Raw genomic sequence first — 23,334 nt, forward strand, 5'->3', positions numbered from 1 at the left:
TGAAGTTTAGTGACACTGGTCATTTTTTCCTAATGATATTTCACACTAATTAGTCTAATTCACATAAATAATTTACTATACTTTTGCATTTGATACTACTTGTGATATTCTAATCTTTTCATTTTTTGACAGTATGAAGATTTCTTAGATGCTCGATTTAAAACCATGAAGAAAGATTCCTTAAATTCATCTCATCCAATATCATCATCTGTTCAGTCTTCAGAACAAATTGAAGAAATGTTTGATTCTCTTTCCTATTTTAAGGTATTGCTGTGAACAAAAAGGTAGCTGGAGTGGGTTTAAAATTTCGTATAATTTCGTATGTGAGCAAGCTGTGTGATTTAGATTATTTTAAAGATTAAATGTTTTTCAGGTATTAATGGTAAACTATAAAATGTTTGCTTCTGTATAAATCTTGGTCATAACTTTTTTGTGGGTTTTTTTCTTTCTCTGACTCTAACTTAAGTTGTATGACTAGTATTCCAGACAATTAACCAGATCTTATAGCGATGCATCTTTTAAAGTCAGTTTACTCTCCAGATCTACAGGTAGAATATGTTCAGAGAAGGTCCTAAGTAAGCTCTTGGCTGTGTTACTCAGAATTGAGGTATGCTGTCAGGTCAGGACTGCCAAAACAAGTAAGCAAAAAGAGATTTTAAGAATTGAAGATTCGATTTTAGAATCTGAAACACACGCCCTGGGTTTCAAGGTAAAGAAAAAGCAGAATGTTAAACCCCATTCGGATCACCATAGGTCGGAGAATAGAAGAATAGTGATAACGGTGTCATTCACATTTATGTTGTGGGGAGGGATGAATGTTATGGCTGTCAGACAAGATAGAGAAGAAAATACACAAAATGTGTGAGATACAGTCTATGTCATCAAGTAGCTGAAAGTTCAGATGGTTGGTACTTGTGGAGCAATAAGAGAGGTAATATGTGCTGAGTGGGACAGAATTTTTGCCTAGGATAAGGAAGAGAAACTTTTGGGAGGTAAATGGGAATTGAGTTGGCTTAAATAATTAAAATATAGGTAAAGAGGAATGTGAAGTATAGGGTAGGGCAGGAATGGAACAATGAGGTCTGCAAAGAAAATGAAGTACTAATGGGCAAGTGATGTTTTTTCAGAGAGTCAGTGTTTGACCACAGTGGAAGCCACACGTGAAGAGGGAAAAGAAGAGAAAGTTGAGTGGGGCCCAGTTGTAGAAGGCTCTGGATACCATAAGGAATTATTTTTTTCCTATGCAACAGGAAGCTTGAAAAGACTTTTGAACAGAGGAATGACTTGATTAAAGTTACTATTTAGGAAAAGTATTTTGGTTTCAGTTTATAAAGTAGATTTAAGTGGGGAGAAACGTAAAGTCAGGAAATTGCTGCTAAAGTCCAGGCATGAAATGGTAAAAGTTTGAAATGAGGAGTGCTAGTAAGGGTGGAAAGAAAACAATGGGTATAAAAAATACTGGGCAGGGAAAGTACTTAAAGTATTAGTGACAGGGTAAGGCCAGTAAAGAAAGAGGCAGAAATGTTTTTCAGGTTCAAACCTGACTGACAAGAAGAATTATTGTACAGGTACTATTAACAAACAAGAAAATCAGGAGTTCAGTTAGCTATATTAAATCTATTCCAATTAGAGCTACTGGTGTGATTTTTGAAGACCATAGTGGACCTGTCAATAAAGAAAATTTAAAACTTGAGGTTCTGTTATTATACCAAACTTAGAGCAGTTATTTCAGGATTTGAAAACCTGCTTAAAATGCTCTAAGTTCATTATATAATAACAGAACAGAGTCATAACAGAGTTCTGTCTGCCACTGACCCAAACCCTCTAAACCCAGAATTCAGTGTCTTCTGAATATGTAGTTTCCATATCATTGTCAACCCCTGTCAACATGGTAACTACTTGTTTCAGAATTGGGAATTTGGCAAAAATATTCTGTGTAATTAAGAGAAGTGGGATACTAGATAACTTATCAGTATTGTGTGCAAGAAGGTAAGCACCAGCAGGGAAATACGTTTAGCAGACATATTCTGTTTGGTCTTTATAATCATCAAGCCTAATTCTGATGCAGGTTGCCTTGCAAGAATTCATTCATTTAGCAAATCTTACAAATACTAACCATATACCAGCCATTGTTCTAGGTGCTGGGGTTATATCAGGGGACAAGGTGGACTTTGTCTCTTTTGTGAAGTTTCCATTTCAGGGGTCAAAGGTAGAGACTGACTGTATACAAATGAATGAATAAGTAGGTATTGTGTTAAGTAATAAGTGCTAATATGAAAATAAAGCATGATAAGGGAAATGAGAATGACAAAGGAAATGGTGTTTATAATATAATGTGGTTGAGAAGCCCTCCTGTATGGTGACATTTGAACACCATCTAAGGCATGAGGAATGTGGTTTTCTTGGGGAAGAATATTCCAGGTAGAAGAAATAACCAATGTATAGTGCTTGTGTGCAGAAAAGAATTAATATAGGAGGCCTGAGACTGCTATTCTTTGAAAGACCTGCTTGCAAGGTTGGCCCTTGGGTGGCATGTGGGAACTTGGGTTTTGGGAAATTTCCCACTATTGCATAAGAGTGGCTCACTGTGCCTAAACAATGTAGTTTATGCTGAAAATGTGATTTCCTTCTGGGTGTCTGGAGTTTTGGTATGTGCTAGGCAGAAGGTACCTTCGTGACTAGCCCACAGTAAACAGCCTGGGTGCTGAATCTCTGATGATCATCCGTGGTAGATGGCATTTCACACATGCTGTCACAACTTTCTGGAGGAATTAAGTGCATCCTGCATGATTCACTGGGAGAGGACTTGGAAGTTTGTGCCTGGTTTCCTCTGGACTTTGTCCCATGCATCTTTTTTCTTAGCTGATTTTACTTCATATCTTTTCACCGTAATAAATCATAGCAGTGAGTATGACTATATGCTGAGTTCTGTGAATCCTTCTAGTGCATCATCAAACCTGGAACTGGTCTTGGGGACCCCCACATGAGATATGAGATTGAGAGAGATACGAGATTGAGATAAAAGGTTGCTTTGCATGTTCAAGCACCAGCAAGGATCCAGTGTTATCTGAAGTAGAGTAAGCAGAGGAGAAAGTAGTAGATGAAGTTAGAGGGACTGTAAGAGGCCAGATTATTATAGGGTCTGCTAAGCCATAGTAAGGACCTTGATTTTATTCTAAGTGAAACGAAAAGCAATTTGATCAGGAAAGTACCGTGATATGGCTTATTTTGTAAAAGATCACTCTAGTCTTCAACAGTACATGGAGTAAAGAGGACTAGTTAGGAAGTTATTGTAATAGATGGGTGGCGAGATAATGGTAGCCTGGACAAGGGTGGAAGTTGTGAAGGTGATGGAGGTACAACTGGACTTGGAGTGTGTTTTAAAGATTGATCCAGTAGAATTTGTTCATGGATTAGATATGAAATACGAGAGAGGGGTCAGGGTAACTTTAAGATTTTTACCTGAACAACTGGAAAAATGGAGTTGCCATTTGCTGAAATGGAGAAGACTGCTTTAGAAGTAGGTTTAGGGAAAGAAGGGGGAAGAAACTTCCATTTCTAAGTGACTATGAGATATGGATTAGATATCCAAATGGAGATACCACACAGGCAGTTGGATATGGGTCTGAAATTCAAGGGGGAAGAAGTCTGATTAGATATATAAATCAGGGGATCATTTGGAAACCTTGGAGTTGGGAGATCAACTAGGAAGGAAATTTAGATAGAGAAAAGGGGTCCAAAGATCAGATGCAAGGACACACTTTCTTCATTGGAAGATGAGGAGGATTCAGTAGACGAGACCGAGAAGGATGGCCAGTGAATAGGGAGAGAATCAAGAGTAGTGTCTTGCAGCTCTCAAGGAGGAGCAGGTGATCAGTTATATCAAATGCTATCAATAGGTTGATAAGATGAGCCTGAGAATTCACATTTGTATGGCACCAGGAAGTTTACCAGTGACCTTGATAAAAATACTTCCGGCCGGGCATGGTAGCTCACGCCTGTAATCCCAGCACTTTGGGAGGCCAAGGTGGGTGGATCACCTGAGGTCAGCAGTTCAAGAACAGTCTGTCCAACATGGTGAAACCCCGTCTCTACTAAAAATACAAAAATTAGCTGGGCGTGGTGGTGGTGCCTGTAATCCCAGCTACTCAGGAGGCTGAAGCAGGAGAATCGCTTGAACCCAGGAGGCGGAGGTTGTAGTGAGTGGAGGTCGCACCACTGCACTCCAGCCTGGGTGACAAGAGTGAGACTTCATCTCAAAATAAATAAATAAATAAATAAATACTTACAGTAGAGTGATGATTAGAAGATGGCTCAAGAGAAAATGGAAAGAGAGCAAATGGAGATGGCAAATTGAGGACAACTCTTTTGAGGAGTTTTACTACAATGGGGGAACAAAAAAACAGCACGGTAACGAGTTGGTAACGAGGAGGGTGAAGTTAGGGAAAGGTAGAGAGTCTTTTATTTGTTTAAAATTAGGAATGTTACATCGTTTTTGTTTTGTTAATGGGCATGTTACAGTATGAAGGGAAAAGTTGGTGATGCAGAAGAGAAAGGACTGTTGGGGACAACAGTGAGTACTTAAATTTATAGAACAAGTAATAGCTATGAAGTGTGATACAGAAATGAGAGTAATAGGTAATAATTTAGTTATGTGTACAATAATCTTGACATTACTACATTTTTATCAAAAGTGAAATTCATTCAAAAACTACTAGAGTGCCTACTATGTAGTGGGCATTGTTTTTGTCATTGGAGTTGAGTTTTCACTTTTTCCTCTCAGCTTACTGCATAGATGAGGAAATAAATGTGTAACAGATACAGGATGCCATATAAATTGTATTGAAGATGGAGAAATGTGATTTCTATTTCAAACCGGGAAGGTCTTCACAGAGGAGGTGGTGCTTATTTCAGGATTGCGAATGATGACAAGCACATCAATGGATATAGTGTGGCCTTAATATTATGCTCCCTGCCCTATACATTTGTTAGTTCCAAGCATTTGAAGTGACTCTGCAGGAAGAAGAGAGATTCTGGTTACTTCACAACACAATATACTAAAATAAGAAATTAATGACCTACCTAGCAGGGAGACTTTTGAGAGCCTTGTCAATTTATTGTGTCTCCAGCACACAATAAATTCAATGGGTGATTTAAGCACTGGGGATGGAGGTGTAGGTGCCACAGAAAATTTGGCATGTTTTTCTATTAAAATGTTTTTATAAATACTTAGCTTTTCAACACTAACATTGAAACAGTGAGTATACCAATAGACCACACAGAATGACTCATGGTTAGAATAGTGCACATGGGAATCTACTCATTAATTCTTTTTCAAATCCTTTAAAATAATTTTAAGACAGTTGAACACAGTCCACATCTATATGAGACTAAGTAGCAGTATATTATAACTAAGTTCTACATATGAAAGTAAATTTTTAGAATGACTGTAGTTTGAATTTTAGATTCCCAATTCGATAATCTATAGTATTCTATTATTTTCTTTCTTTTTCCTCACTTTTTTTTTTAATAGGGATCTTCTCTCTTGTTGATGTTGAAAACTTACCTTAGTGAAGATGTGTTTCAACATGCTGTTGTCCTTTACCTGCATAATCACAGCTATGCATCTATTCAAAGTGATGATCTGTGGGATAGTTTTAATGAGGTAAGTGACCTGGGTAATTTATTTAGCTCTTACTGTAAAAAGAGAGGAGTTCGTCTATTTATACTTTTTAGCATGTGTGTAAGTTAATCTGTGGTACAAAGCATAGTTATTTAAGAAAGGGGGGGATGGAGCTTGCTATATAAATATTTATGAATGGAGCACTAAATTTTATGTCAAGAAATGGGAGTGCTGTTCTTAGTTGTTGGAAAAGACGTGTGTGGGCTTGGGTAGCCAGTTGTTTTTTTTTTTCCTGTACCTTAACTTCTATTCCTATTTTGTAGGAAAGTTGTCTTCTCCGTATTAATGAATATTACTATATTTTCATTATTTGACTTTTTTTCCAGAAATCTCTTTTCCTATCCTTACCCTTTTAGTTTTTCTGCCTCTTTTGAATGATTCTGTACTCTGCTCTATGAATCTCTTGCCTTTGTGACTGTTCCTCCAGAGTAGATGATACATCACAAGCTGACTGCATATTATCCTTGGATGATTTTGCTGTTGGAATTTTGTCATTCCTGGAAATATTCTAGCAAGCAGTGTAATTATGTAGAAGTTACACTTCAAAGCAGCACATGAACCCGGGCTGCTTCATGCATGTATACTGACTGCAAAACCCTTATAAGCATTTGTGTTTGTTACCCTGATTTAGATTGATGGGTCATAATACTTTGAAAGATCACAGATTTGACTGAGCGTGGTGGCTCACGCCTGTAATCCCAGCACTTTGGGAGGCCAAGGCAGGCAGATCATGAGATCAGGAGTTCGAGACCAGCCTGGCCAATATGGTGAAACCCCGTCTCCACTAAAAATACAAAAATTAGCCAACGTGGTGGCACATGCCTGTAGTCTCAGCTACTTGGGAGACTGAGGCAGGAGAATCATTTGAATCTGGTAAGCAGAGGTTGCAGTGAGCCGAGACTGTACCACTGCACTCCAGCCTGGGTGACAGAGCCAGACTCTGTCTCAAAAAAAAAAAAAAAGAAAGAAAGATCACAGACTTATTTGGAAATTTGATGAAAGTTCTGGCCATATTACTCAGAAAAACCACATATGTGCAGAACATCACACACAGTTTCAAAGTTTTATTGACTCTAGGTTAGGAACCCCTGCTCTGGATCTTTCTCATACACTCTTTACTGCTTCTTTGCCTCATCTGAATCCTGATACTTTCTAGCTGTTAGTCTTTTGCCCAGAAGATATACCTTCCCTACTCTCTGAATTCTCTTTGAGAACTTATTACCTAACAGTTGTTCCCAAATCATTGTTTTTTTCCTCTGATCATATAGTAGTATTTCAATTGAAAGCCACATTGTTTACTTTATACTTACTGTCTTAATCTGTTGGCATTTAGAACATATTTCTGCCTTTCTCATTGACTGCAACTTTTGCATCATGGTGTTTTTCCATCCCAAACTAGTTCCTAACATTATCCTCAGGTTTTTCAGCACCCACATCAAATTATGCATTGGCCTCTTCACTTCAATACTGCTTCGACACCCAAAAGCACCTTGGTTTTAGGCAAGCTTATTTTCTTCTAATCCTCTGGTTCAGAAATAAATAGGTCAGAGCCATGATAAATACAAGTTTAATTAAAATGGGAAGATTTGCTCCATCCTTTTGTGCTTTAAATAAATGGGCATATGGTGATTGAGGTGAGGCCTGCCATAGTAGAGTGATTTTATCAATTTAGGTACATCATGACTTTGTTGCTTACAATTCAAATTCATATATAATCTAGAAAAATAATTTGAATCCTGAGTTTAACCCACCTGCTTTAAAGAGACTGTTGTTCAAAAATTGCTTCTTAGTTATTGATACTAGATGTCTTAGGGGCTTTGGGCCTTAGAGGGTCTGCAAAGCTCTGACACTAGGTTCTAGATTTTATAGATAACTTCATATATTTTCTGGGAAAGAAGGGCTGTGACCACTAAAGTAGTTTACCACTGTTTTCTAGAAAGACTTAAGGCAACTGACCTGTTCATATGTCACTCTTCTGCTGCCGCTGCTCCCTGGCACTCCCACAGTATTAGGTCCTAAGAGACTATCATTGTGGAGGTGGAGGGTAGGAGCATAAAGAGAAACCCAGACTCAGGTGCTTCACAGGATTGAGTAGCAGTGTTTCTGATTCTAGACTGTATATCATTATTCATATCTTGTAGATGTTAGTATTGTGATTTGAAAGAATACTTATACCTTCTTAGGGATTTTAACTTGATGAATTTAGGGATTTTAATGAATTCTTAGTTGGTTGATATATGTGCCACTTCTCAACCTAGTGCCTCCCTCACTCCCTTAGCTATCACTTAGCTCTGTTCCAGGTTACATTCCTTTTAGCAGTTGCTCATTTACCTAGATTAGAAGTGTAAACTCAACATTCATGTTTCTTTTTTATATTAACATTAAATGTAGTCTTTATAGATGGTAGGAAAAGAGGGAAGGGTACAGATAAATTAAAATGTAAAATTTTTTAAACCAATTTTTATTTTTAAGGAAAAAGTTTTATATATATATATATATATTTTGTAGGTCACAAACCAAACACTAGATGTAAAGAGAATGATGAAAACCTGGACCCTGCAGAAAGGATTTCCTTTAGTGACTGTTCAAAAGAAAGGAAAGGAACTTTTTATACAACAAGAGAGATTCTTTTTAAATATGAAGCCTGAAATTCAGCCTTCAGATACAAGGTACATGCCCTCTTTCTTTTCATGCCATCTCTTTTGCACTCTCAGGTGGAAATATTTTTAAGTGTTTTATAATCATAAGTTCTTGTGAAACCTAACAAGATTATCCCTTCCTAGGAATAGCTTAACCTTCCTACCAAATTAAAAAAAAAAAAAAATCATATGTAACTAATTTTCCAATGTTTTCTCTTTACAGCTACCTGTGGCATATTCCACTATCCTATGTCACTGAAGGAAGAAATTATTCAAAATATCAATCGGTATCATTACTGGATAAGAAATCAGGTTTGACTATAATGACAGTTCTGATTGGAAATGGCATAATTTTAAAAATCTGATCAGAGTGCATATATAAGATTACACTTTCCAGTGTGCACACTCTCTGAACTGGTTTTATGAGTTGCATATGCAAGATGTGACTAATGTGAGATTGATTCTGTATATCATGCACAAAACTGGCTTTTAGCCATGTGAAATAAGGTACAAAAATTTGCAGAGAATGTACTGGCATTCCTGAAAGAAAATAGCGAATGCCATGTTTTTATACCCAAGATTAATATTTTGTTACAAAATAAGAGGAGTTTCTTAAAGTATCCTCTGCTATCTACTGTCTAGGGTTGGGCTGAGGCAACTGCATTTTAACAAGATACACCCTAAATGATTTGTGTGTATAATTGAGGTTTATTCATGATTGGATTTAGAGTAAATAGTTATTGCAATATGCCCTGCAGACATAGTATATGTTTTGGGGAACAAGAAAATGGGGCATGAAACTATGATAGGAAGGGGGAGGGGAATAGTAAAATATAAACGTGGTGTATGCTGACCTACAATATAAAAAGCAATTGAAATGTAATTTTGGGCCATTTGTTAAATACCACTATGAATGTCACACCACATATCTTCCTTTTAATTTACATCCTAAAGAAACACAAGGCTCTTGGGTTCTGTAGGACCCGTTAGTGATGCTTTGGATTGAAGAAAAGGGAAAATTTCTCGTTTGAATTTGGATCTGGTGTCAAAGCCTATATTTTTGAGGGGTGAGTGTAGCTTAGTGGTAAGAGAATGAGACTTTAGAGACTGCCGGGTTCAATTCTTAGCAGTACCATTGATCACTTATATGATTTTAGGCGAGTTATGTGAGCCTCATTCCCTCAGCTGTACAAAAGAGATAGTAATTATACTTACTTTATGTAGTTGTGGTGAGGATTAAATGAGTTCATTTATATGAAGCACCTAGAACAATGCCTGGCACATATTATGTGCTGTATTAATGTTAACTATCATTAACGTTATTGAAAAAGTAAATCTTTAATATATCTATATTACATAAAACCTTGAAAATGGAGAGCAAATCTTATTACCCTATCAAAACTATTCTTATGATTATTTGTTTATAGTCATTTTTAATAAATATTTGTACTTAGTCAAAATCATTATGTATATATGATTTCTGTATCTTGCCTTTTTTAACTTAACATATATAGTAATTGACTTAACCTACTTGATTCACCATTTGTTGTTATAAAATATTGCCTTAATTAAATATTTCAAATCTTAAAGGTTTTTCCATTATATGAAATTTTTTAAGGAATGCTTTTCAAAAATGAAGACTGCAGTACCTTTTGTGATTTGGTACATATAACCAAATCGCCCTTTTTATTGTGTAGTTACAGTTGATAATGCCACCTGAAATACATGAATGTGCCAGTTTCATTGCAGTTTTACCATAGTGGAGTGTTAAAGCAGCAACAATCTAATTATTTAAAATCCTAGTGGTAGTTGGTAATGTCATCATATCTTTGATAGCATAGCTGGAAGTACAAGGAATTGCTACTGTCTTTGAGTAAACAAAACTCTAACTTTGAATGAGCCGTAAAAGGATAGTCTCTAACCCAAGAGAGAACAAATAACCCCATCTCCCTATATCCTGAAGCACAGCTAAAACATGGCTGGAGTATTTGCAAGAAACTAATAAGGAAATTTTGCAAACTTTCTGATAGTATATTAATTTTCAGTGCTATTAGAAATAATTGGGCAATAAGAAATCTGCTTTTATTATCTGTTTTTTGTTTCATTGGTTGATTTTTTTGTTTGTTTTTTCTTGTTTTTTTTTTTTTTTTTTTTTTTTTTTTTTTGAGTTGGAGTCTTGCTCTGTTGCCCAGGCTGGAGTGCAGTGACAATATCATAGCCCACTGCAGCCTCAAACCCCTGGGTTCAAGCAATCCTCCTGCCTCAGCCTGCCAAGAAGTTAGGACCACAGGCATGTATCACCATGCTTGGCTTAATTTTTGTATTTTTTGTAGAGACAGGGCCTCACTATGTTGCCCAGGCTGGTCTCAAACCCCTGGCCTCAAGTGATCCTCCTGCTTTGGCTTCCCAAAGTGTTGGGATTACAGGCATGAGCCACCGCACCTGGCTCCTCTTTACTCTTTTTTTTTTTTTTTTTTTTGAGACAGAGTCTCGCTCTGTTGCCCAGGTGAGAGTGCAGTGGCGCGATCTCAGCTCACTGCAAGCTCCGCCTCCCGGGTTCACGTCATTCTCCTGCCTCAGCCTCCTGAGTAGCTGGGACTACAGGCGCCTGCCACCATGCCCGGCTAATTTTTTATATTTTTAGTAGAGACGGGGTTTCACCATGGTCTCGATCTCCTGACCTCGTGATCCGCCCACCTCGGCCTCCCAAAGTGCTGGGATTACAAGCGTGAGCCACTGTGCCCACCCTCCTCTTTACTCTTTACCTGAGTTTATTCTGAGCTTGTTGAGCTCTTTTTGAGAGTTTAACCCCATAGACTAGCTCATATTTTACTGCTTTAGCCTTCTAGGCCCTTACCTGGCATTCTGTGCTTTTGCCGCACAAAAATTCTATCAGCAACTCAAACATGCCATACTGCCTCTTTAGGTCTTTGCATATGCTATTTTCTCTCCTTAAGGAACACCCTTGCCTCCTCACTCCCTCGGCCTACTCCTGTTTATTCTTCAGATCTTAGCTCAGCCATTGCTTGCTCCAGGAAACCTTTCCTTCCCTGAAGACAGTTTAGATGCCCTACTTAGGTTTTTTAATAACATTCTCTACTTCTCCACTCATAATATACTGTAAGTACTGTTCACTCATATCTATCCTCATATTAGGTATTTCCCCCATTGACGGTAGTGATCATGGCTATATGAATCACTGTAAATCACTTTTAGCACTTAGTAGGCACACAAAAACTTAATGAATTAGTAAATTTTAGTCCATAATGAAGTGACTCCAGTCTCACTATAAAAATTTCTAGGAAAAGAACATGCAAAGCCTGATAAAATGATGTTTTCTTTTTCTCTTCCTCTTCTTAGTAAAGAGGAATATACAAAATTCACTAGAATATAATTGATTTAATCTAGAGCTGGAACTGGGCCAATACATGATGAAAGTAGTGTCTGTTACTTCCTCTTCTCAACTGTGTTATTTCCCTTGCTGCTGCTGCTGCTATTTTAATTCCTGCCATTTCGGGTTTAGAGAGTCCACATGAAAACTTCTGTCCTTACGTTTGACCCTGAGGACAGCTGAGCCTTCTTGGTTCCTAATGCTCCAGTGAGAATTACTCTTAATTTAACTGCATTTTTATTTTTTCTATTCTCAAAAGAAAGGTAGCAGAGAGGGTGACTTCAGGCTTCTTTTATGCTGTAATACTTTAGTATAGTGTATTATTTTGATGCTTGATGGTTGGTTAAATCTTTAATATATTTTCTTTCTTTTTTTAAATATATTTTCATGTGTTCTAATTCAAGGGTTGTTGGGTTAGTTCATTAGTTCAGTTGTATATAAGAGTTATGTTTGGTCAATGTATTTGTCTCCTTTTCTCACATACATGAGTTTTGAACAATTAGTATTTATTGTGCACAAGAAATGCTGATGGGGCCATTTTTCCAGTTTACATATTGAGGAATTATATTTTTTAAAGTTTCCCTCTTCCCTTTCTTCCTCCCTCTCTCTCTCTCTTTCTTATCCACATTTTACTCAGACCTAAGATCTTTAACTATAGGAGATTTTCGTATTAAATCTAATGCAAAACATTCATGTTTCCAAATGGATATCACTATCAGAAATACTGCTGTGAAAGTTAAAGATATGTCATTGGAAGAAAAGGTAATTAGGATGAAAGAAGGAAGGGCATATAGTAATTAAAATATTTATCATGTGCCATTCTCTGCTCTTGCCTTTTTTTCCCCTAATAAAGGAGAAAGAAAGGGGTATTAGAGAAGGGAATGCTTTTGAACAGGAGTGATAAAGTTCAATAGCATGTATGATGCTAGCCCTCTGGAGCAAACTGTACAGGAAATTTTGTAACTTTGTAGTAAAAACGGGTTTTTTAGTTTCAGAACTTTAGTTTTTTTGTAAAACAGTAGTTGATTTTCGTAGCTCATTGACAAATGGTTTTTAAAAATCACTGTTAGATTACTTCATCTGGGCTTCTGCCATTTAATATTGCAGTTGCTCACTCTTTTTTGCTACTCAATAGACTGAAAATTGAAGTGTTAATCTGTTGATGACTATAGTAAATTAAAAACATATGAGGGTAGCTTCATCCACGTTTGAGCTGTAGGATGTAGTTACTTCCCTTGTGTGCAAAGCTATTATTTTTCAATACCTGTGGTTTTAAGGTCCACCATTCTGGATCATTCAGAAGAACTGAAAGAGACTAATGATGTTGATTCTTTAAATGATAACTCTGTCTGTCTTTGTGCTGTTGGCTGTACTGCTTTATGTTGTGTCATCTCGATGACAGTAATAATTTCAAGTATATTCCCAGCTGTGTCCCTCCTCTTTACCATCTGGACTTGGCTAGGTTTACAACATGGCAAGCTGCTTATCAACCAAGGTATTCCGTATGTATTTCAATGTTTTCTGCATCCATCTAGTGGAACAATTGTCATAGCCATCATTTCTTGTCTCCTTTTATGGGCAAGGGAGACTTGGGTCTCTGTAGCCCTTCTTTCTGGGGTTGTTTCTTTTCTTTACGTTTGTTTTTATTAGAGACAGGGTCCTGCTCTGTCACCCAGGCTAAGGTACAGTGGCATGATCATAGCTCACTGCAGCCTTGACCTAGTGATAGTTGACCTCAAGTGATACTCCTACCTCAGCCTCCTGAGTAGCTGGGACTACAGACATGTGTCACCATGCGGGCTAATTTTTATTTTTTGTAAAGATGATGTCTCACTATGTTGTCCAGGCTGCTCTCAAACTCCTGGGCTCAAGTGATCCTCCTGCCTTGGTCTCTCAGAGTGCTGGGATTACAGGTGTGAGCTGCCATGCCCAGCCCTAGGGTTCTTTCTTGATAAAAGCTCCATAGGATATAGTGTTTGGTGACCTGGAGAGTGTTGATATTTTTGGATTAGCTAATGATAAAGTTAATTTCCTTAGTCATAGGTTTGCTAAAAATGGCTTCAACTTGGAGCAGCCACTGCTGCCATCACAAGTATCCCTTAAAACTGCATTCTGCCCTTGAAAAAGGAATAAACCTTATTTAACTGATCTTTCCCATCTGTTGCTGTATCAGCAATATAACAGAAATAAGTACGGAATTTTTTTAGTAAGAAAGACTGCTTAGCTTATTATGTCCTGTTAAGACATGATCAGAATGTCTTTTTCATCTTAAACATCTTTTGCAGTATCGATATAATTGGAATAACAAAGATATTAAGGGCATCTGACACATTTGAATAATTCATGTTTTTGAAATTGATAAATCCTAAGGTTTCAGGTACTAATATATAATCTTTAGTACCTAAGCTAAGGCTTCAGGTACTAATATATAATCTTTAGGTTGAAAACATATTTATAAAGCATTTTATATAAAAAACCTTCACTACAGAATTATAATGATAGTGAACATTTTAAAACAGCCTAAATTGTTCAAAATAGATTGGATAAACTTGAAATGAAATATTATGAAGATATTTGAACACTGCTTATGAAGACAATGGAAAAATGTGCGGGGGGATCTGATAGGTGAAAAAGGATAAAATAAATGCATATAGATCTGCTGTATAAAATATTAAAAACAAGTATAAGACAAAAACTTGGCAAGAAGTACATTCCAAAATGCTATCATCGTCTGAGTTTAGATTATTCTTATCTCTACTCTTCTTTTTCTTACAATTAAAAATTTTTTTAAGTATTTGTTACTTTAAAAGGGGGTAAAAATTATATAATAAATATCTACAAACCTTTGTCTACACTTGATTTAAAACTATTTATTGTGACATAGTCATTATTTATTCATTCACTGACTAATTCAGCAGTATTTGTTGAGTACCTGCTAGGTCATTGTTATAGGGGCTGAGGCGTTAGCAGTAAGCAAAATAGTAAGCTTATGTAGCTTATATTCTATTAAATAATAGTAAACCTCAAGATGCTTAGAAGCATACCCCATTATAATTAAGTCTACATCCTTGTTGCCAACTTTAAAAGACATTTCTTCATTAGCAGTTTTAAGGATTTTAAAAATTCATACATATATTTTGTGGTCAGTTAACTCTCAGCGCTTCATTATTGGTACATTAGTTGACATAATTCCATGGAAATTTCTAACAGTTCTCTCAGCATTTATAGTAGAGACCCCAGAAGTGCCTATCCTTTCCTATTGTTTTAACCCAATTATTTCTTATTTGTCCCTTATGCAATCTTAAGCCTTCCCTAATGTTTATTTTGCTAGCTTTAAATAATGTGACTTTTCTAAATGGCTTTGTTTGTTCTTCCTTTGCTAACATGACAAAAGACAGAGGCCAAAATGGGACACATTTTACACAGTTCTCTCACTGTCTTCCCCTGCTGCCTCATCCTACACCTTTACTTTCTCCCTCCCTCTTTCCTCTAGCCATAATGAACTTGGGAGCCAGTTCAGTGCATGGATAACATGTATACTTTCTCTCTGGGCCTTGAGCACTTGGGTTCCCTACTATATCTTCTTCACTTGGCCAACACCTACATATTTTGAGGTCTCTTAGAAGAATGACAACTTAGATGTCATTTCTTCCAAGAAATCGCTCCTAACTTTCCCTAGGAGAGGGAAGCATTTTTTCTATGTGCATTCGTTGAATGCTGTCTTTTCTTTTTCTGTCAATAGCGCTTGTATGATATTGTACTTGCCTGTTTACTTTAGACTGTGAGATCTCTAAAAGCAGAGACATATCTACCTTGTTCACCATTTGATTTCCAGCACCTAGCTTACAGCCAATATTGCACAGTAAATAAATAATTGTTAAATGAATGTCTTGACCTTCACTAACGTGAAAATAACTGTACTTGGAGACAGGCATTTTTTTCTTACTAGAATGATTAAATATAAAAATAAACTAAAAAACAAAGCACTCATAATTTTTTTTTCTTGTCCAATTGTCTTCTCTCTCAATCTCTCATTTTTTTGGTTTCCATTAGGTGTCATCAATCTTACAGAAGAAGTGCTGTGGGTCAAAGTGAATATAAACATGAATGGTTATTATATTGTACACTATGCAGATGATGATTGGGAAGCACTAATCCATCAGTTGAAAATAAATCCTTATGTTCTGAGTGACAAAGACCGAGCCAACCTTATCAACAACATCTTTGAACTTGCAGGGTAGAGTATACTTAGTTTGAGATTTTTTCTTTTTTTAAACAAATGTCATTGAGGTAAAGAACATATATGAAAAACAGTTTGAAAGAACTAGCATGTATTGGTTGGTACAATACATTTTGGAGGATTGGGAAAATATGTGTTCTTTGCCTCCAGGGACTTTATAAAACATTAGCTACGAACATACTGAACAGTTAAATGAAACAGGATTTAATAATAATTCAAGACTAGATATCAAAAACAGGATACATATTTTGTTGACTAAACTTGATACACGAGTTCAAGCTCTATTTTATTTTATAAGAGAATTATTTTCAAACAGCAGTTGGTTTAAGCATGAAGCTTAGTGCTTATGCATTGGTTTTGAGGGACATCTCTGATGGCTGGAGCCACCTTATCTGTACTGCTTGCCTCCCCAACCACCTCATGCATTATAGAATCCCAAAGCCAAGGATGACAGTGACCTCATGTAAACATATTCTCTGAATAGAATATTACCAATTTAGATTGATGATAGGCTTAAAAACACTGACGTGTTCCTTCTCATCTCCCTGGGCATTTCCATTTTGTCTCGTTTTTTATGAAGTGCCCTTCTTACGTCATCCTAGCCATTGCTGCTGTGATTCCTATAAAATGGTTAATTTTAAAAATGTACTCACTGTAAATTCACAATAGACCTTGTCATAACAAGTTTGAAAAACAAATTCCCATTAAACCAACAAATAAAATTAAAAAAAGAAATCAGATACTCTCTATGCTATACTCTCTTTCCTGGCAAATATAACTAATTAATAAATAAAATTAGTACTATTCATCTTTTCTAACCCAAGATATTATACTTTTGCTGAGTTAGTAGCAATTTACAGGAGACTTAGGAATAAAAAAAAATGAGCTATTGTTTATCTTTCTCTTGAAATGCCTCTTTAATCTTGGGCCTCATGAAATTAATCAGAGATAATCATATTTAGCTTAACTTTACAAAATGCCACTGTAAGTTTAAATTTTTGGTCTCCAAGACTCACCATCTAACCCTAAGTTTCTCTTTTAGCATGCATAGACTTCTTCTGTGTGTCTCTGCATATTTACTTTTCCTGTTCTTTTATCCTTTAGCCTAGGCAAGGTACCTCTCAAGAGGGCCTTTGATTTGATTAATTATCTTGGAAATGAGAACCATACTGCACCCATCACCGAAGCCCTGTTTCAGACAGACCTCATCTATAACCTCCTTGAAAAACTGGGATACATGGATCTGGCCTCAAGACTGGTGGTAAGTCTGCCTTTTTGCCAGCTTCTTGCTGTTTATCTTTAATATTGTTATTCATGGTTCCATTTTCAGCCAGTAATAGGCTGAAAAAGCAACCAGTTAAATTCCATTTTCTTCACTTTCCTGCTTGTGAAATCTTTACTTAAAATCAAGATGTTGCTTATGATGAAGAGCTGATAAAGGCTTAGTATGATATGGTCTTGTTTGAATATCAAAATACAGACATTTGACACCACTGTCAAAATGAGGTCACATGAGAATAATATTTCTCTATTCAGATCCTGTTTTATTTCTACATGATGAATGTTTGAAATAGGCCCTTTTGCAAAGTAGATCTCCCCATTAATTTTCTAGTGGTCATTATAAAATGACAGTTACGTTTGTATTGAGAATATTCTGTTTAAGGGTTCTTACTGATAACTATCTAAAGGATAATGATGCTGGTGGATATGTTTCTTTGCAAAGCACTAAAGGAGTCTTAGTATTAGAGACCATTTTACCTTTCTTAATATCAACTGCCTGATCTTAACAGTTGTTATTTTGGATACTTTTAATATTAAACTGTTGAGAGACTTTAAAAGCTTGGAAGAGAGTGAAAAATTATTTGTTTTTATCTAATTCTCTGAATCAGCGCATTTTGACAACAGAGTTTGCTTTATAAACTAGTGAGATTTCCCAGGGACCCAGGCAAAAGGCAGCTTTTAGGGAAAGGAAGGCAGTATTAGACCAAGAATTAGAATAAGTCTTTTGGGGTTTTGGTATTCTCATTGGTGAAAGGAAGGGGTTGGATTAAATCATTTTTTTAACATTTTTTTTATTATACTTTAAGTTCTAGGGTACATGTGCACAATGTGCAGGTTTGTTACATATGTACACAACCTTCTTTCTGCCTCTGTTACTGCCTTACCCTGCGTCTCCTATGAACAGTTCTCTCATCACCTGCATGATTCTCAGTGAATGGAGGGAACGCAGGGCAGAGTGGATGTATGGAGCTTGAAAAGCTTTTCTCCCCCAAAAGTTTCTGATCTGACCCCAAAGGAGTTACCCCATCCCTATCCATAAGCAAGATGCTTAAGTTAGATGATTTTCTGAGGTCTCTTCTAATGGTTAAGATTTTTATCATTTTCTATTTCATAAGGCTTTCAGCTAGCAGCCTTAATAAAAACCAGTGCCTGGAACATGACCTGGCCTGTAGTGACACTCAGTAAACGTTGAGTGAATAAATGATTGAAACACACCAGAAACAAGTGCATTTGAGTGCTTTTACACACCGTGCTTAGTGCTTAATGTAGATTACCTCATTTAATTATCACACAGTGCCAAGGTAGATATTTCTACCCCCATTAAATAAACGAGGAGACGGAATAGCTTCTTTAAAGTCACTTACCTAGTAAGTGATAAAGCTGAAATTCAAACCCAGATAAATTTCACTCCAAAGACTTCTGTTTCTGTTATATTGCTATTTGTAAAATCAATTTGTGTCCTAGCAACGTCGTCTTTCCAGGATACCTTTAGAAAAATTAAAGCTTTCTTCTTGTCATATTCTTTTGAAAAGCTTGCAGACCATATATTTAAGGTTTCAAGTGACTGGCCCACATCTAGTTGTTCTCCTAAAAATGAAATTGTCAACTTAAGAGATTTTTTTTATATCTAAAATGCTAATAATGACTTTTTAAAACAATATTTATGTGCCTTTCCAAGAAGTATGCAAATAGCTTACTCATCTCTTTAGGGCAAACTGGGAATCCAATATCGACTTTCTAGTGTTAGTGTAGTAAAGAGATTGGCCATTAGTTAACCAGTTCAGCTATTGTTGATAGACATTTGCGTTATTTGTAGTTTGGAGCTATCATGAATAGCACTGCTATGATGTCTTCGATGAATGTCTTTATGCATTTCTATGGGATATATGTCTGGAAATGGGATTATTGAGTCATAACACATGCATAGTTAATAGTGTACTATCAAATAGTTCTTCAAAGTTGTACCAATTTACACTTAGCAGTATATGAGAATTCTAGGTGCTCTAGATCTTTTCTGATGATTATCATTCACACTAAATCTTTTTTATTTTAGCCATGTGGATAGGTGCATAGTGGTACTGCAATTTTGACTTGAATTTACATTTTTCTACTGATGTGAAGATGATTTTCTTTTTGATATATGTATTGACCATTAGATGTTCTTTTGTAAAATGCCCATCTTTTGCTTATTTTTCTATTAAATCGTCTGCCTTTTTCTTGTTGATTTGTAAGAGTTCTGTATATATCCTAGATATGAATCTTTTGTTGGTCATGTATATTTGCAAATATCTTCTCCCACTCCATCTTGCTTTTTTTTACTCTCTTAATGATTTTTTATTAATATGAGTTTTAAATTTTAATGTAATCTAGCTTATGAAATCTTTTCCTACCCCTAGATATTCTCTGTTCTCTTCTGAAAACTTTATCATTTTATCCTTTACATTTAGATCTGTGATCCATCTGGAATTGATTTTTGTGGATGGTGTGAGGTAGACACCAAGATTCATTCTTTTCAGTATGGATATCCAGTTATCCCCAGGACCAGTATATTTTATTGCATAGAATTATGTTTGAGGTAATTAGTATGATATCAACACCATTTGGGGTAGTATATTAATTTTCTAGGGCTATTAAAACAAGTTATTGCAAACTTGATGTCTTAAAATAACAGAAATTTATTCTCTCATAGTTCTGGAAGCCAGAAGGCCAAAATCAAGGTATTGGCAGAGTAAGGTTTGCTCCTTCTGAGGAAGAATCTGTTCCATTCCCCTCTCCTAACTTCAAGTGATTGCCAGTAATCCTTGGTATTCCTGGGCATGTAGGTGACTAACCGTGGCCTTTGTCTCTGTCAACACAGTGTTCTCCCTGTGTTTCTGTGCCCAAATTGCCCCATTCTTAGATTAAGGCCCACCATAATCCAGTATGACCTCATCTTAACTTGATTGTACCTGCAAAGACCCTATTCCTAAATGAGGTCATATTCATAGGTCCCAGGCAGACACAAAATTTGAGGGGATACTATTCAACCTAGTACAGGTAGCAATAAATAAGATTAGTGCATATCACTCACTTTTTTTCACTATTAAAGGGCAATGTTAGTTCTGAATATACCCTGTGAGGAGGCAGAATATCTCCCGACTCTGAAGCTGCCCAGTTAAACTTCATAATGGCAGAAGTCAGTCTTCTGCTTGCCTCTCTGTTAACTCTGTTTATAGCTTAGTGCTCAAGAAGCACTTGATACTTACCTCTTCTTTGAACTGCATCTTCATCCCAGATGATTTCCAGCTTTCTGGGCAGATATGTGTTTATTAGGAACATACTTCAAGGAGGGATCTAGGGACTGATGGATAGAGAGGAAGGGCAGAAGACTTAGTATGTGTTTCCAAGATTGGACGCCCTTTTACTGCTGTGTGTCTTCACATGGTTAGCTAAAAGCCCAGTTAACTTTAGCTCACCAAGAGGGAGAATGTGTCACTTTAACATTCTTATTCTAATATTAGGGTGAAAATTCTGGTAGCATCAATACTCTCAAACTAGGAAATCTGACATTCTACAGTTAGGAATTGGGATAGGAGACATTTATGAATCCTTGGATATGACGTTCAAATGTATTACTGTCTAAGACTGATTTCTAATTAACTTCTATATCATTGGAACCAAAGCATTATGTACATTTATTGGTCATTTTGTTATGTAGGCTGCACATGACATATGCTGCATTTTGTGATGCTGTAGTGTTGTGATGGGTAGGGTCTGGAGGCACATTTCAATTGTGTTAAATTGTTCACATCTGATGTTAACATCTGATCCTAGCCATATTCCTGTTTTATCACTTACAAATCTGTCATTCTTTTACATATGAGGCATTGGTGGGATAAACCTTTTGCAATAAAAACTGACATTTCACTTTTAAGAAACTCAGTTGACCCAGGAAAGAACTCCCTGGGCATATCAGTGTAAAATTAAAGCAGTAAATCAAAATGTAATATACAACATAAGTGCTAGCATCTTTCCCTGTTTTATTTTTAAAATAATTTTATATTGTTGTTATTGCATTTTATTACAAATCCAGTGTTTGTAGCTTGTATAACCCATCAATTTATTTCCTCTCTCCACTTGCCATTTCACTTTGTAAAATCATAGAGTTGCATTCTATTGTTGAAAGAGCTTAAATTTCAAAAAAATTAATTTGGATCCTTAGAAAAACATTTCATTTTATTTCTAAAAGGGAAAGGTAATTTGAAGCACATGCTATGCCTCATTAATATTAATTAATATTAAAAATAAACCTGGATTACTTATAAAAATGATATTTTGTAACAGGATTTTTCTAATAATATAATTATTCTTTCTTAAAATGTTTTACTTTATTATGTTATAATTTGAAATACATTTAAACAACTATTTTGAGAACTTGCCTTAATGATTTCATATGGAGACTAACTAGTAAAATTGCTCCCTGTAATTCGGTGGTGTAACTGCTCAGGAATTAGCCACAGCCATCTTCAAGTGTCAGATTTCCTTTGCTTCCAGGACTTCAAGTGCCATTCTTTCCATTGCTGCCTTTGTGTTTTAGTAAACTCTCAATGAGTATTGCCATTGTTCTTCACTGATTTTTTTTTTAAATAAGATTTCAAGCATGTGATTTTTTTTCTCACATTCTTCATTTGTTCCTATTTGACAGTTATGAGTAGGATTTGAATTTCTTTTGTTCTCCAGTCATTTGGAATGGTTTTCTATCATAATGCTATTGAGAAGGTAAGGCCAGTGAAGACACCACATAACAATGCAGTTAGGTATGTCAAGTGGGATCCCCTGCATTGCTTGTCCGTTCCTTGCATCGTCAGCGTAGCAAGTATTTTTCTACTTCATGTCCTCCCAGTGACTCAAAAGCTTTACCACTTACACATTCCACAAGGTGTCTGTTCTGTGTTTCATTGCTTTTGAAACAAACACAAGCGAGTTGACATGTTATACAAACCTTGAGTTCTTTTCCTTGCAGATTCTTTTTTTCTATTCTCATATTCAACTCCACAAGATGCTTATTCACAGTAAGTCATTGCTAGGATAATGGTCTTAATAGTTTAAAAATTTCCAAATAGGATTCATTTTAGGTATTGACAGTGGTACTCAGTGGTACTCACTGTCAATACCTAAAAGAAAGGAAGAAAGCAATGTTCTGTGAAGAACTTGAGCTAAACTTCTGAAGTTAAGGGTTTTGCTTGTGGTCATCTGTGGTACATGATTACTTGAGATGAGATGCCACGATGGTGGTGGAGGTAAAGAAGTACCAGCAGGAAGAAATCTTCCTGTGCTTATTCCTTCAGAGGGGGTATCTGTTGAATTTTTTTCATTTTGGTCCTTCTTATGTAGCCATGAAGGTTTTCTAAAGAATACCTAAAAACGGCCAGGTATGGTGGCTCACGCCCGTAATCCCAGCACTTTGGGAGGCCGAGGCAGGTGGATCACGAGGTCAGGAGATAGAGCCATCCTGACTAACATGGTGAAACCCTGTCTCTACTAAAAATACAAAAAAATTAGCCGGATGTGGTGGCGGGCGCTTGTAGTCCCAGCTACTCGGGAGGCTGAAGCAGGAGAATGACGTGAACCTGGGAGGCAGAGCTTGCAGTGAGCTGAGATCGCACCACTGCATTCCAGCCTGGGCAACTGAGCAAGACTCCATCTCAAAAACAAAAAAAAGAATACCTAAAAACATTTTTTATATCAGAATTTTTATTCTTTCTAGTGGTATTCATAAAAGCATATTGCATATGATGCTTTTTAAAATATCATGTGCCCTCACCCCCCACCCGCCATGCACAACTTGCAGAATGGAAATACTTCGACATGGTATTAACAGGTTTGGTGTTTTTATTTTGGAGAGAGATGAAAAAGGCGTCTGTTAGTACCTTAATACCGCAAGTATACGTTTAGCAATGACAGCCAATACCAATGGACTAGATTGGATGATATTAATGAATAACTATTAGTTTTCTTCAGTGTGATAAGGTATTATGGTTCTGTAAGAGAATGTTCTGATATCTGTGAGTTGCATGCCAAAGTATTTATAAATGAAATATCGTATCTGTATATCACTTTT

At 36.3% G+C, this 23,334-nt stretch overlaps 1 protein-coding gene across 3 annotated transcripts in view; it reads left to right on the forward strand.

Annotated features, from left to right (window-relative positions):
- The window catches only part of LNPEP (leucyl and cystinyl aminopeptidase), a 101,434-nt gene that overhangs the window by 61,802 nt on the left and 16,298 nt on the right, over positions 1-23,334 (forward strand). For all 3 annotated transcript variants that reach the window (NM_005575.3, XM_047417177.1, NM_175920.4), the window contains exons 8-13: positions 133-264; positions 5,534-5,665; positions 8,192-8,352; positions 8,546-8,634; positions 15,767-15,950; positions 17,058-17,214. In NM_005575.3, coding sequence (NP_005566.2) covers positions 133-264; positions 5,534-5,665; positions 8,192-8,352; positions 8,546-8,634; positions 15,767-15,950; positions 17,058-17,214 — 855 coding nt within the window. The remainder of the gene's footprint in view (positions 1-132; positions 265-5,533; positions 5,666-8,191; positions 8,353-8,545; positions 8,635-15,766; positions 15,951-17,057; positions 17,215-23,334) is intronic.

The sequence above is a fragment of the Homo sapiens genome, chromosome 5 (genome assembly GCF_000001405.40).
Source record: "Homo sapiens chromosome 5, GRCh38.p14 Primary Assembly".
In the NCBI taxonomy this organism is placed as follows: domain Eukaryota; kingdom Metazoa; phylum Chordata; class Mammalia; order Primates; family Hominidae; genus Homo; species Homo sapiens.